The following is a 15,920-nucleotide window of genomic DNA, read 5'->3' as shown; positions in this document are numbered from 1 at the left end:
AACTCAAATCTCTTCCCTGAAATGGCTGCCTCTGGACCTGTAGGTAGCAGTGAATGAAATAACTTTGTGGAGTGGAGGGTGGGATGGAAGTTAAAGGAACAAAAAGAAGGTCAATTTCTGGTGTAGACACTATTATTTATGCAATTTTGGATGTCTCCTGTATCTAGAATTACAGTACAACTCAGAAGCACTGCTGTCTGGAAGAGACAGTTGCAATCATATTACAATTTAGATTTTAGACACATTATATGGAGGCAGTATGAACTTTACTACTAGCTCAAATCCTAGTAACCAACACACAGTGGGCACTAAATTTATGTTTGTCGAATTGAGCTAGACCAAATATGGGAAGGCTGTAACTTGACCAAGTAGGAGTTTTGTGTGAATCAGATAGGAGGGAATTAATATTAGTTTTCAAAAAGGGCAGAAATATTGAGAAAATACAAGTTAGCAATAATGGAAGGCTGTATAATGGAAGAGAAGAAGGAATATTAAAAAAAAAAAGCAAAGACACAGTGTAAGAAGTACAGAGGTGGGGCATCCCCAGGGGAAGTTAATTCATAGCTCACTAATGTCAAGAATGGCCAGCCTCTTTCATTCTTTTTATCTTCATCTTTAGTGGGATGCTTGATCTTCAGGTTCACCCTTCCCATGGTGACAAGATGTTTGCCACTGTTCCATACTTGTGTACAGACATAACCACCAGAAGGAAATTATGAGAACTAGCTCTTCCAGGTTCTGCTTCTTCATAGAGAGATCCCAGTACACCTCTTTTTTTTTTTTTTTTTTTTTTTTTTTGAGACGGAGTCTCGCTCTGTCGCCCAGGCTGGAGTGCAGTGGCGGGATCTCGGCTCACTGCAAGCTCCGCCTCCCGGGTTCACGCCATTCTCCTGCCTCAGCCTCCCAAGTAGCTGGGACTACAGGCGCCCGCCACTACGCCCGGCTAATTTTTTGTATTTTTAGTAGAGACGGGGTTTCACCATTTTAGCCGGGATGGTCTCGATCTCCTGACCTCGTGATCCGCCCGCCTCGGCCTCCCAAAGTGCTGGGATTACAGGCGTGAGCCACCGCGCCCGGCCCCCAGTACACCTCTTTTCGTATCTCTTTGGCAAGAACTAGGTCCCTATTTCCTCCTAAATCAATCACTGACAAGCAAAATGAGATTTTTGTTAATGGCATATATTGTGCTGAGCGGAACATATTCCTTGGGGCTGGGGGACTGGAGATGGAGCTATAGTCTCTTTAAACACGAGGTAGAAGTGAGTTGATGAGTCAAGGAGTTTGAATAGGTAGTCTTATCATCATACCTGTAGTAATAGGAATTGAGGGGGGTTGGAAAGCTTTTGGAGCTGGCCAAGGTCTAGTGTCTAGTGTGACTATCACACTGATCTCACCTCTGATAGAACACATGTGTATTATTAACCACTGAACTGGGGTTGGTGTTGAAGACCATTCATGCAAGTGGATCATGAAAGGATGGAAGGGGAGAGACTACATCCCCAAGTCATGGTCTTTGATAGAGAAACCCACCTGTTCCCTTTGATGTTGTAGGTATTTGTCAGGGGAGCCTTCTTTGGGGGGATTGCTCTTAGCCTGGTTCATTATATAGCTCTATTGATGATCCACAAGAAATGTTGTTTCTCCTGGTCAAGTGACTATTGTGCATGGTCTTGAAGACTAACAACGTGGATGCTCATTCCTCAGAACTCAAATAAATCCCTCTATTCTTATTATCTAGATGTCTTTCCACAGCAATCTCTGCCCTACCAGCCCCCACTTTCCTTATTTAAGCCCAGGCTCATGTACTTTCCAAGATTAGCTAAAACCAATATGGAAAATGCATTTCTGTCTGGGACTTTCAGCCAGCCCTGTGGGGAAGTTAGGAGTAGGACACCTCTCTCACGACACCCCTTGTCCTACTAGATAACTATCCTATCCAATCTACCTCCTAGCATTTGTTCTTCTACATGTATTTCAAGTTCAAAGTAGCCAAAGAGAATGGTGCTTTCTTCCTAACCAACTTTTAATTGTGTTTTTCACTTAAGGTGGTTGCAACATTCATGTGGCAATGTAGTTTTAGTTTTGGAAGGGTATCTCATTCCTATTTCATCCCTCACACCTTAGTAGCACTTAGTTATAAATTCTATGGTTAAATTCAATTGGAAAATGAGATTTCCCTTATCTCATTCTCAGTTTCATTATGTGAGAAAATCACAAAAGGCACTTTTTATGTTCTGTCTCCTGAGGTTTAAATGCCAGTCTAACCTCTTGTGCCCTTGACACATTGTCCCAAGATGATTTCACTATAGAGACATTTTGATGCCATAGGATATTTCATAACTTTAAATATTTTATAACAAATTAAATGTTAATTATATGCTGGTCAGGGAAGAAAATCACTGAAGTATTTAATTAACATTTAATTTATTAGTCATCAAATATTTAAGTAGCGCCTATCTGAGGGACTTTTACTCCTCATTAGTTGTAAGTGAGTAACAAGTTATCATTGTTAGTTGCTACAGCTTCTACTATTCCAAGTATGAATGGCTTTTCTGGATTTCTTTGAAAAGATCTTTGCATACATTCATAGGCAGACCCCCAAAAAGGAAGAATATATTTCTAAAGCATTTTTGTTTTTTCTGAAGTCTTTTCATGAGTTCAGTTGATTGCTACTTGGGTGCATTTTCTTACAGAAACCCTATGCTTGCATGGTACTTTATAATTTGAAAAATGCTATAATCTCCATGACCTCAGTTGGCCTGGTTGTTAGCAACAATTTTTATAAAATTCATAGGGTGGGTAGAATCAGCGTTATTTTATAGGAGTTGGAATCTCATAGGGTTTGTGTGACCGCACCAATGTCACACAGTCAGGAAAATCAGACAAAACTTAATCCTAAATTTTCTGCCCACAAGTTTCACATTGTGTCATGATCAATGTCAAGTGACATTTTAGCCTCAGAAAAGTCCTGACAGTACCTTAGAAAGCAACTTTTATTTTTTGTTTCTAATTGATTATGAATTGAAAATATAGCCTGTAAACTATATTCTCTTAATAAATCTTTAAGCAAAATACATGATTATTTTTGTAAATGTTTTATGGACATAAGACAAAAATGTATATTCTCTATTTAGAGCTATGCCGCTTTTCATATATCTAATACAGTTATTGATTGTATTAATTTATTGATTGCATCAGTCTATTTCTCTAGATATTTGCTTATTTTTTGTGTGGTAGAGCTACCCATTTCTGAAAGAGAAGTTTTGAATCCTTCTACTATATTTGTATTTTTATTAAGTTTTCTTTATAATCTCAATGCTTTTTTTGACATATTTATTGGCTGTGTTATTTGGTGATCACTGCCTCTTCTTTATAATAGTGCATTCTTACTGCAGAATATCTCTTGATCTTCCTTTTTTTTTTTGAGATGAAGTTTCGATCTTGTCACCCAGGCTGGAGTGCAGTGGCACAATCTCGGCTCACTGCAACCTCTGCCTCCTGGGTTCAAGCAATTCTCCTGCCTCAGCTTCCCGAGTAGCTGGGATTACAGGTGCCTGCCACCGTGCCTGGCTCATTTTTGTATTTTTCGTAGAGATGGTTTCACCATGTTGGCCAGGCTTGTCTTGAACTCCTGACCTCAGGTGATCCGCCTGCCTTGGCCTCCCAAAGTGCTGGTGAGACGAGAAGTCCTCTCCTGATTGAAGGTTTTTTCTCGATCGAAGGGTTCGTGGCTTCACAGGCTTCAAGGAATGAAGCTGTGGGCTGCAGCAGCGAGTGTTACAGCTCCACTAGAGAAATGCATGGACCCAAAGAGTGTGCGGTGGCAAGATTTAGTAAAGCAAAAACGAAAGTAAAGCAAAAACGAAAGTAAAGCAAAAGCGAAAGTAAGCGAAAGCAAAAGTAAAGCTTCTACATGGTGGAAGGGGACCCGGAAGGGTTGCTGTTTCTGGCTTGGGTGTCTTATGCTTATATCCCCTTATGACCCCTCCCCTTTTCCTTTTTCTGTCCTATAGAATTAGCTTATTTTCTATCCACTTGTGGGTTGGCGGGCCTGACTGGTTAAAAACATCAGGCTGCAGCTAGAGCTTAAACTCCCTATATGATTGGTTGAAGTTTCAATCCCTTAGCTTGCAGCTGTGACTCATTTTGGCTTAGGGGAAAGTCCCCTTAAGGAAGTCCCTATTGACCCAGGAAGTCCAGCCAACTTAGCCACTTAGTCCCTCAGCCCCCTCTCTCAACAGGAAAGCCCAAGTGCTGTTGGGAAGTTGGGTGACGATGGTTCTAGCTACTTCCTGCTGAACTGGGGTATAGAAGGGGCTCTGCAGTTGAGGTTTCCTGGGGAGGGGATTCTTCGATGTTGTGGTGGGAGAACAGGTTGGTGGATTGGTCTAGGGGTCCTCAATAGTAGGTGCTAGTGGTGGTCATTTGGGGCTCCATTTGTAGAACCAATTGCAGTTTCATGGATTCTAGTCAGTAACAGACACATTTTACAAGGAGGTTAAAAATGCAGGTCCAAAGATAAGCAAGATCACAGTAGCCACCAAGGGTCCCAAGAAGGGGAGAAGCCAGGACGTCCTATGCAATTGGTTGACAATACTCCAAGGTCCTGTGTCTTGGAGCTCTTGTGCCCAGTGCTATATCTGGTCTCGAAGCTCTTTAACCTTCTTGGTGACAATTCCGGATTGATTAACGAAACAACAGCACTCTTCTCCTAGAAAAAGACAGGTCCCACCTCTTTCTGCTGTTAATAAATCTAAGGCTCTCCGATTTTGAAGTGCTACTGCTGCTAAAGAGTTAAGCTGGCTTTGTAAGGTGACTAGTGAATCTGCGACTTGTTCCATGTTATCATTTAACTCTTGTGATAATTCATAATAGAACTGGGTGGAGGTGGTAATGCCTCCAATGCCGGTTCCTAGTCCTCCTAGTATCCCAGCCCCGATAATGAATGGAAGGACTAGTGCCCGTTTGTAACGGGGTTTGGGTAGAAGAAAATCCTGTAACTCCTGATCAGTGTAGATAGTCACAGGGGGGCGCCAAAAAGGAGAGAAAGCATAGACTTTGTTAGGAACCATTTAAGCAGCGGTAAGCTGAGGAGTCACAAACAAAAAGGATTCCTGATGGCAAGCAAGAGAGTCGTGGAAGTAGGGTAGTCCATATTTTGCACTGGAAGGCGGCTGCGTCAATTGTTTTGCTAAACTTTACACAGGTTGAGATTTGATGTATGTGTTGTTTCTAGATTTGAGACTAAAGGGCCCACCAGGCCTGTGGTGTTTGTTCTCAGTTCGGTGGCATTCCAATGTTCGGGAACAGGAACTGGGACATATGGTTTAAAGCATAAGGGGAGGCACATCCAGCAGGCAGTTGGATTTTGGCTGGAGGCCCTGTGAATTTTGGTAAGGGTGACATTAAATAAATTTAGCAAGCGGGAGTAAGTGCGAAGAGTTTTATGTAGCCTTGAGAGGTCTAATCCTTGTAGGGACTGGGTGTACTGGGGGTTTGAACCAGTTTGGAGATCACCTTCTGAAGGTGTTGCTCTTGGGCTTGATCTTGGACCCCACCTGTGTTGGATAGGCCAACATGTGTATAGTAGGTCCAACAAGGAGTGGCTCCATATCTGCCTGGACAATCAGCTCTGATCATTTTCCCTGTCCAATAATTGGTGCCTGCATGTGTACAGAGGGTAGCAGCCTTATAGCACTCTCTGCACATATAAGTGTGGGCAGTAAAGGAGGCTCCCCTCCCAAACAGGCGTGCAAAATTGACTACTGCCATGTTTCCCAGGAGTCATGAAGAACTGAAGCCAGGGGTGGTGCAGGTACATGAAGGGAGAGTATTAGCCAAGGGAAGCATAAAGACTATTAGGAGGAATTTGAAATAGGAGGGGGCCATGGGGGAGAGTGGTTATTAGTTAATTTCCTTAGGAATTTACTTGAAGAGCAGACACAGGTCCTCCAGCAGTTCACAGGTGTAGGAGGCATTGTTTTCAGAGTCCTGGGTTGTTGGTTCCTCGAGTCCTCCTGGTGGCGTCCAGAGATTGATTCGAGTGTGATGAATCCAAGATTCTATCCCAACTACCTTAACTGCGATTGGAGTAGAGAGAATGACTGGATATGGTCCTTCCCAGGAGGGGCCTAGGGACGGGGAGGTAGAGGGACTAATACTAGGTCTCCGGGATGGAATAGCTGTTTTCCTTTTTCTCTCTGATGTCTTTCAGGCAATGCTTTTAGAATGTGCTGAAATTTTGCTAGGGAAGTTATGCTTTTCACAAGATTTGTTGTTTCCCTATCAATTACTAGGCCATTCATGGGAAAAGGCCATCCATAGAGCGTTTCACAGGGACTGATCCCTATTCTTTATGGGGAGTTACAGATTCTTAACAAAGCCAAGGGTAGCAGAGTAGGCCATGGAGGTGAGTTTCCTGTGTTAGTATTTTTAAGTGTTTTTTGAGTGTTTCATTCATTTTTTCAACTTTCCCTGAGGACTGTGGTCTCCATTCACAGTGGAGGTGGTATTGTATTCCTAGTACTTTGGGTATTCCCTGAGTTACTGCAGCCTTGAAGGCTGGGCCATTGTCACTTTGTAAAGTACGAGGAAGCCGGAATCTGGGAATTATTTCATGAATTAGGGTTTTCACTACTTCCTGAGCTTTTTCTGTCTTACAGGGGAAGGCTTCAACCCAACCGGTGAAGGTGTCTACCCAGACTAGGAAGTATTGAAGTCCCTGGGATTTGGGAATGTGGGTGAAGTCTAGTTGCCAGTCCTCTCCAGGGTAACTACCTGCTCTTTGTTCCCCTGAAGGAGCCTGACAATAAGGCAGGGGCTTATTTCTTTGGCAGACTTCACAGGACTTCACTATTTGCTGAATAGTTTTGAAAAGGGCCTGTCCTGTAAACAATGATTTAGCCATTTGATAGGTGTTATCGATACCTAGATGGAATGTCTGATGAAGGGTTTTTAGTATCTTCCACTGGCTAGCTGCAGGTAAAAGTATTTTTCCTTCCTCGGTTGCTAGTCATCCTCAGGGGAGGAAACTACGTCCTCATAAGGTTCCCCACTGTATTTTTTCAGATGAATATTGGGATTTGGCCTCTTGGAGAGGATTGTCCCATATTAAAGGTCCCTCTATGGGCACTTCTAATGGAGGATCCCATCATGAGGCTTTTTTGGCTCCAGCATCTGCTCGGCAGTTTCCTTCTGCTTCCCTCTCTCTCCCTTTTTGATGGCACCAGCAGTGTAAGACTGCCACCTCTTTAGGTTTTTGCACAGCTCGCAATAATTTCATAATCGCTTCTTGATGCTTAACAGGTGTTCCCGCTGAGGTTAAGAATTCCCTTTCTTTCCATATTGCAGCATGGGCATGAAGGACTAGGTAAGCATATTTGGAATCTGTATATATATTTACTCACTTTCCTTCTCCCAGTTCCAGTGCTCAGGTGAGTGCTACCAATTCTGCCAACTGTGCACTGGTACCTGGAGCGAGGGGGTTACTTTCAAGTATTGCATTATCACTGGCCACCGCGTATCCTGCTTTCCAAAGTCCCTTTTCTACAAATGAGCTTTCATCAGTATAGAAGTTGAGGTCAGGGTCAATTAAGGGGACCTCTGGAAGGTCCTCTGAAGCAGCAGAGATTTGGGCTGTAACTTGTTGACAGTTATGCTCTATTTCTTCTTCACTGTCTGGGAGAAATGTGGCTGGGGTAAAAGCTGCACAAGTGCGCAGTTGCAGTACCGGCCCTTCAAGTAACAGAGCCTGATATTTAAGCAGGCGGTTTCCAATAGCCATAAACCCCCCTAAGCAGTGAGTATACCGTTTATATCATGGGAGGTCCATATGGTGAGATCTCTTCCCTGTATTGTTTTAACTACCTCAGATACCAAGATGGCTACTGCAGCCATCACCCATAGGCAGAGAGGCCAGCCTTTTGAAACTATGTCAATTTCCTTACTTAAGTATGCCACTGGTTGCAAATTGGTCCCTTGGACCTGAGTAAGAACTCCAAGAGCTCTTCCAGTTCTTTCTGTGACATGTAAAGAGAAGCTTTGCTCTGTTGGCAAACTTAACACTAGGGCCTGGGTCAGGGCCTTTTTTATGGCCTGAAAAGCTGTTTCTGCCTCAGGTATCCATTCTAATAAATGAGTATTAGCTTTTTGAGTTTCCTTAATTAATGTATATAGTGGCCTGGCCAACTTGCCATACCTGGGGATCCATATCTGACAGAAGCCTGTTATGCCAAGAAACTCTCTTAGTTGTTTTAATGTCTTGGGGCAATGATAAGCCAGAATGGGTTGAATACATTCTTCACTAAGGGCCCTGGTGCCTTTGGATAGATTTAGCCCTAGGTATTTAACCTGTTGTAAACATAGTTGAGCTTTTGCTTTTGAAACCTTGTAGCCACAAGGGGCGAGAAAGTTTAAAAGCACTTGGGTGGCCTGATGACATAAGGTCTCTGAGTTAGCAGTTAACAGCAAATCATCTACATGTTGAAGGATGAAAACGTCCAGGTGGGAGAACTGACTTAAGTCTTGGGCTAGGGCCTGGCTGAATAAATGGGGGATATCTCTGAATCCTTGGGGTAGGACAGTCCAGGTAAGCTGAGATGCTGGGTTTGAAAGATCTTTAAAGGCAAATAAAAATTGAGAGTCAGGATGCAGAGGGATGCAGAAGAAAGTGTCCTTTAAGCTCTAGGACTGTATAACCATTCTGCTTCCTCTGGTATCTGGGAGAGTAGATTATAGGATTAGGTACAACTGGATACAGAGGAACAACTGCCTCATTGATAATTCTGAGGTCTTGCACTAACCTCCATTGTCCGTTGGGTTTTTGCATGCCTAGAATAGGAGTGTTGCATGGACTGTTGCATGGCTTTACTAATCCCTGTGCTTTTAGGTCCTTAATGATCTTTTGTAACCCTTGTTGGGCTTCTGGTCTGAGGGGTACTGCCTTTGATAAGGAAAGGAGATAGGATCCTTTAATTTAACTTGACCTGGACAAGCGTTTTTTGCTGGTCTGTATAGTCTTTCCTCTGCCCAGACTTCAGGATTAACTCCCTCCTCGAGTAGAGGGCAGCAAACAGGTATTCCTTCTCCTATATTCAAATATATAATGGCCTCCGCTTTAGCTAATACGTCCCTTCCTAGTAAAGGAGTAGGGCTGTCAGGCATAATAAGAAAGGCATGTGAGAAACATAAGGTTCCCCCGTCACAATTTAGGGGGTGGGAGAAATACCTAGTGACTGGCAGTCCTAGGACCCCTTTGATGGTGACAGACCTGGAGGATAGTTGTCTGGAACAGAAGAGTAAAACTGAGGAGGCCATGCTAGTGTCCAGAGGAAGTTAGTTTCCTGGCCCTCAATGGTTAAGCTTACCTGGGGCTCTGTGAGGGTGATGGCATGGGCTAGTACCTGCCCCGGGCACCCTCAGTCCTGTTGCTGGACCATCTGGTTAGTGGCCTCTGGCCCAGAGGACTTTGCCCTCGGGGGCAGTGTGCCTTCCAGTGATTCCCCCGGCACAAGGGACATGGACGAGGGTGCAGCTTATTTTTGGGCAGTCCTTTTTGACGTGCCCCTGTAAGCCACACTGATAACAAGCCCTGTTAGGCAGGTTGCCTGCCCAGCGCTTCTTTCTTTCAGAGCCACCGAAATTAATCTGCCTGAGGGCCATGACTAAAGCAGCAGCCTTTTCTTGTCTTGTCTGTCTCATTCAGCCTACTCCTCCTGATCCCTATTATAAAACACCGAAGTTGCCAAATTCAACAGAGTTTCCAAATTTTGCTTGGGGCCCAGAGCAGACTTTTGAAGTTTCTTTCTTTCTTTTTTTTTTTTCTTTTTTCTTTTTATTATTATTGTTATTATACTTTAAGTTTTAGGGTACATGTGCACAATGTGCAGGTTAGTTACATATGTATACATGTGCCATGCTGGTGTGCTGCACCCATTAACTTGTCATTTAGCATTAGGTGTATCTCCTAATGTTATCCCTCCCCCTCCCCCCACCCCACAACAGTGTCCAGAGTGTGATGTTCCCCTTCCTGTGTCCATGTGTTCTCATTGTTCAATTCCCATCTATGAGTGAGAACATGCGGTGTTTGGTTTTTTGTCCTTGTGATAGTTTACTGAGCATGATGATTTCCAATTTCATCCATGACCCTACAAAGGACATGAACTCATCATTTTTTATGGCTGCATAGTATTCCATGGTGTACATGTGCCACGTTTTCTTAATCCAGTCTATCATTGTTGGACATTTGGGTTGGTTCCAAGTCTTTGCTATTGTGAATAGTGCCGCAATCAACATACGTGTGCATGTGTCTTTATAGCAGCATGATTTATAGTCCTTTGGGTATATACCCAGTAATGGGATGGCTGGGTCAAATGGTATTTCTAGTTCTAGATCCCTGAGGAATCGCCACACTGACTTCCACAATGGTTGAACTAGTTTACAGTCCCACCAACAGTGTAAAAGTGTTCCTATTTCTCCACATCCTCTCCAGCACCTGTTGTTTCCTGACTTTTTAATGATCACCATTCTAACTGGTGTGAGATGGTATCTCACTGTGGTTTTGATTTGCATTTCTCTGATGGCCAGTGATGATGAGCATTTTTTCATGTGTCTTTTGGCTGCATAAATGTCTTCTTTTGAGAAGTGTCTGTTCATATCCTTTGCCCACTTTTTGATGGGGTTGTTTGTTTTTTTCTTGTACATTTGTTTGAGTTCACTGTAGATTCTGGATATTAGCCCTTTGTCAGATGAGTAGGTTGCAAAAATTTTCTCCCATGTTGTAGGTTGCCTGTTCACTCTGATGGTAGTTTCTTTTGCTGTGCAGAAGCTCTTTTTCTAATGTCTGCAGCTGACTGAGTGATAAACTTATCCTTTAAAATTAGTTGGCCTTCAATAGAGTCTGGTGACAAGGAGGTATGCTTTCTTAATGCCTCCCTTAGCCTCTCTAAAAATGCCATAGGGTTTTCTTCTTTTCCCTGCATTCTGGTGGACATCATTGAGTAATTCGTTGGCTTTTTTTCTGGCCTTTCTTAATTCCTCTAGTATACAAGTCAGTAAGTGCCTGTGACTCCAGTCTCCATGCTCAGAATTGAGGTCCTAATGGGGATCCACACTGAGAACCACCTGTTAGCCTGTGGGGAGTTGTTCCCTTTCTTCTGATGTCATTTTATCATTTACCTGCCTTAGGTACCAGAGATTCCCAAACTCCCGGGCCGCAGCTAAGGTGGCCTCTTTTTCATTGGGAGTTGATGTTTGACCTAACAACAACATAATATTACTCCATGCTAAATCAAAAGACTGTCCTAATCCCTGTAAGACGTCTATGTATCCATGAGGATTATGAGAATTTTCCTAGGTCCAGTTTGATCTGTTTTAAGTCTGAGAGGGAAAAGGAGACATGTACTCATGCTGGGCCAAAGTCTCCTCTTCCTCCCGTAGCTTGGAGGGGGCACAATCAAGGGCCATTGGCGCCTTTCGGTTCCTTGACTATCTTTTTTTCTGGTTCCTTTTGGGCTGTTAGGGCCAAAGAAGAGTCCTTACTAGTGGGAGGCAGAGCTGTGGGGAGACCAGGGTTTGAGGGTAGGCTTTGAGGACCGCTGGTAGGATGTAAATTACATTTTTTACATAATTGTGGGTTATCCTTTAGTGAGAAAAAAACCTGTACATATGGCACTTCACTCCATTTGCCCTCTCGTTTACAGAAGAGATCTAACTGTAGGATGGTATTATAGTTTGTACTTCCCTTGGGCATCCATGTCTCTCCTCCAGGAAGAGAATATTGTGGTCAGGCAGTGCTGCAGAAAAATATAAGTTGCTTCTTCTTCAGCATTTGAGGGTCAAATTGATCCCCAGTTATCCAGAATACACCTCAGGGGTGGCTTTGCTTTTGAGGGAACATCTCCCATCTGAAAGGAGAACATAGGAGTGCCTGCACCCCTAGTCATCCCCTAGTGAGCAATAGCCCTAGGGTGTCCCCTATGGTTCTAGTGTCCTTTTCTTTCCAGGGTGTGCAATCACCCATGGAACCCTGCTGATCTGATTTAATTGCACTTACCGATGTAGCAGTTTTGGCCCGCACTCATTTCCCTCACTTTTTTAGCTGCAAAAAAAGGGAGCTGGGGCTGCTGGATTTTAGTGGCTCCTTACCAGCATGCTCACAATTGCCTTTGCATCTGTGAGTGGGTCTTAGGTTCGGGGTGTATTTTGAGTTCAGAGACCAGGCACCAGTTAGCATATTTCTGGGCTTGGAGCTTTCCCAGCAAGATGAATTCCATGAAAATGGAACTGGAGCACAACAGTTTTAGAGTAGGCAATGGCGAATTGGAGGACCAAGGTTGAAACAGTGCTTTTTGTACCCGAATTTTCTGTCCTCATTTGCCCTCATAAGATTATTCACTGACCTTTGGCCTTGGACCAGGGGACCTATTGTCTGTTATATTGTTTTCGGCCCATACTTCTGACTGCTTCCAGTGGAGATGTTCTACAGTTCTAATCACTGATCCCAGACAGGAAAGATAGTAATTAAAGTAGCCTCTACAATCTGGAGTAAGTTTAGGCCAACAAAAGGAAAAATGTCCTAGGCCTTCTATCAGCACTGACATGCCTTTTGATGTCCCGGATAGTGCCGAGGGTACAGGTTATGAGGGACAAGTCCTGTGTAAGGATATTGATACCCATCTGCATAAGAATAAGCCTGGGGGCCCGATGAGCAAGGGTCTTTGGATTGCTTCGCTACTCGACTTAGGCTCCTAGCCAAAAGATTCTTAGACTCAGGGGTAGGAAGGATCCTGGAGGATAGGGCCTCAAGAAAGTCTTCTCTGAGGACATTAGGACCCAGGAGGCATGGGTCAGAAAAGGCAGGGAATGCATGCATGGGCAGCTGCAGAGTAGAGGCTTCTCGCTGTGCCATAATCTCGACCTGGTCAGTGCCAGGAGTTCAGGACTACAGTTTTCCACTTCTAGCCAGCCCTTGGCTTTTCCCAGGAAAGGTAGAGAAAGGTGGAATTGGTTCTAGGCAAACTAATACTCTCAGCCTGGAGGGCCAGGGGTTGTTAGGGAGCCCTTTCCCAGAAAGCCTCATACCTGTGTCTTAAGTCCGGCAGCCACACTTGTCACTTCTAAATGGCCGACAGGTGCCTGGTGTTTTCCTCCAATTTCTAGCAAGAAGATAGAAAAGAATAGCAAGCAAAAGGGGTCTGATGTTACTCACTGCTTTGGAGAAATCCTGGACGAGCCCCCAGAAATGAGACAAGAAGTCTTCTCCTGATTGAAGATTTTCTTCTCAATCAAAGGGTTCGTGGTCTCATGGGCTTCAAGAAATGAAGCTGTGGACCACAGCATGGAGTGTTACAGCTTGACTAGAGAAATGCACAGACCCAAAGAGTGTGCAGTGGCAAGATTTATTAAAGCGAAAGTGAAAGTAAAGCGAAAGAGAAAGAAAACTTCCACACGGTGCAAGGGGACCTGGAAGGTGGCCTGGCATGGGTGTCTTATGCTTATATCCCCTTATGACCCCTCCCCTTTTCTTTTTTCTGTCCTATAGAATTAGCTTATTTTCTCTCTGCTTGTGGGTTGGTGAGCCAACATTAGGCTGCAGCTAGAGCTTAAACTCCCTATATAATTGGTTGAAGTTTCAATCCCTTAGCTTGCAGCTGTGACTCATTTTGGCTTAGGTGAAAGTCCCCTTAGGGAAGTCCCTATTGACCCAGGAAGTCCAGCCAATTTAGCCACTTAGTCCCTCACTGGGATTACAGGCATGTGCCACTGAGCCCAGCTGATCTTGCTTTAAAAAAAGTTTTTTTTTGTTTTGTTTTTGTTTTTAAATAACCTTGTCTGATTTTAAAATGCTCCATCCAACTTTCTTTTATCTATATTTTCCCCAGTATTTCATTGTATATCTCTTTGTTCTCAACCTCTCGTGACTGCTTTAAGTGTTTCTTTTAAGGTAAGAATTTTTTTAAAAGAGAAAATAAACTTATTTTGTCTTTTATCTTTTGGTGGAAGAATTCAATCATGCACAATGTAAGGATTGATTTACTTGATGGTATTCCATCTCTCTTGTTTTATGCTTTGTATTCATTACATGGTGATCTGATTTTAAAATGCTCTATCCAGCTTTCTTTTATCTATATTTTCCCATGATTTCATTGTATATCTCTTTATTTTCAAGCTCTCATGACTGCTTTAAGTGTTTTTTTTTAAGCTTAGATTTTTTTTTAAAGAGAAAACACACTTTGTCTTTTATCTTTTAGTGGAAAAATGAAATCATGCACAATGTAAGGATGATATATTTGATGGTATTCCATCTCTCTTGTTTTATGCTTTGTATTCATTACATGGTTTGGTCCTCTTTTCATCCCATTTACTGAGATATAAATAATTAAATCACATGAAATGTACAGATTTAAAGTGGACAGTTTGATCACATTTGATATATGTATACATTTGTAAGCCATATTCAATCAAGATAACAAATATTTCTAACACCTGCAAAAGTTTCTTTGTGTTTCTTAATATTCTCTCCTCTCTTCACTCCTGTCTTTAGGCAAACACTGTTCTGCTTTTTGCTAATATACATTAGTTTAAATATAAAATTTTATATGAGTGGAATCATATAGTATGCACTCTTTTTTGCCTGACTTATTTCAAAGGGCATATGATTTTGAGACTCATCTATTTTGTGTGTAGGTATAGTTCATTTCTTTTATATTCCATTTTATGGATATATCACAATTTGTTTATTCAGTGGCCAATTGATGAATATATGGTTTTTTTCCAGTTTTGGGAGTTCATGAAGAAAGCTGCTGTGAACAGTCATGTAGCAGTCCTTGTATGGACATGTGTTTTTATGTATCTTGGGCAAATATGTAGGAATAAAATGGCTGAGTTACATAGCAGTTATATGTTTAACTTTACAAGATACTGAAAAACTGTTTTGTAAAGTGGCTAAACCTTTTAATATTCTGGAGATATATGAGAGACCCAGTTTTACATACTCATCAACACAAAGGATTATTAATAGAACCCAAAGTCTACATGACATAACAATCTGATACTTGACATACAAAGTACCAGAAAAATGTGATCAATTCTCAGGGGAAAAGGCAATCAACAGAGACCAATCCTGAGATCACTCAGATGTTAGAATTATCAGACAAAGTTTTTAAACTTTTTTTAATATCTATGCTCCATGATGTTAAGTTAAACACTGATATGGTTTGGCTCTGTGTACTCACCCAAATCTCATCTTGAATTGTAATCCTCATGTGTTGAAGGAGGGAACTGGTGGGAGGTGATTGGATCATAGGGGTGGTTTCCCCAATGCTGTTCCCATGATAGTGAGTGAGTTCTCGCAAGATCTGATGGTTTAAATGTGTGTGGAGTTTCCCTCACTCATTCTCCTCTGCCACCATGTAAGATGTACTTTGCTTCCCCTTTGCCTTCTGCCGTGATTGTAAGTGTCCTTAGGCCTCCCCAGCCATGCAGAACTGTGAGTCAATTGAACCTCTTTTGTTTATAAATAACCCAGTCTCAGGTAGTTAATTATAGCGTGTGAAAATGGACTAATACAGAAAATTGGTACCAAGAGTTTGGGGCACTGCTATAAATCTACCTGGAAATGTGGAAGCGACTTTGGAACTGAGTGACAGGCAGGGGTTGGAACAGTTTTGAGGGCTCAGAAGGAGACAGGAAGCTGAGGGAAAGTTTGGAACTTCCTAGAGATGTGTTGAATGGTTTTGACCAGAATGCTGATGGTGATATGGATAATGAAGTCCAGGCTGAAGTGGTCTTGGATAGAGATGAGAAACTTATTGGGAACTGGAGCAAACGTCACTCTTGCTATGCTTTAGCAATGAAACTGGTGGCATTGTGTCCCTGCTCTAGGGATCTGTGGAACTTTGAACTGGAGAGAGATGATTTAG

The 15,920-nt window shown here is 42.7% G+C and overlaps 1 annotated feature.

The window, feature by feature from the left end:
- Positions 15,495-15,574: an enhancer, noted in NCBI's record as "active region_20293". NCBI's record gives its function as "activates an Ori minimal core promoter by ATAC-STARR-seq in GM12878 lymphoblastoid cells {active_cell/tissue: GM12878}" and the evidence as "EXISTENCE:reporter gene assay evidence [ECO:0000049][PMID:35858748]".

This window comes from Homo sapiens, chromosome 3, assembly GCF_000001405.40.
Source record: "Homo sapiens chromosome 3, GRCh38.p14 Primary Assembly".
NCBI lineage: Eukaryota > Metazoa > Chordata > Mammalia > Primates > Hominidae > Homo > Homo sapiens.
This window is presented reverse-complemented; position numbering and strand designations above follow the sequence as displayed.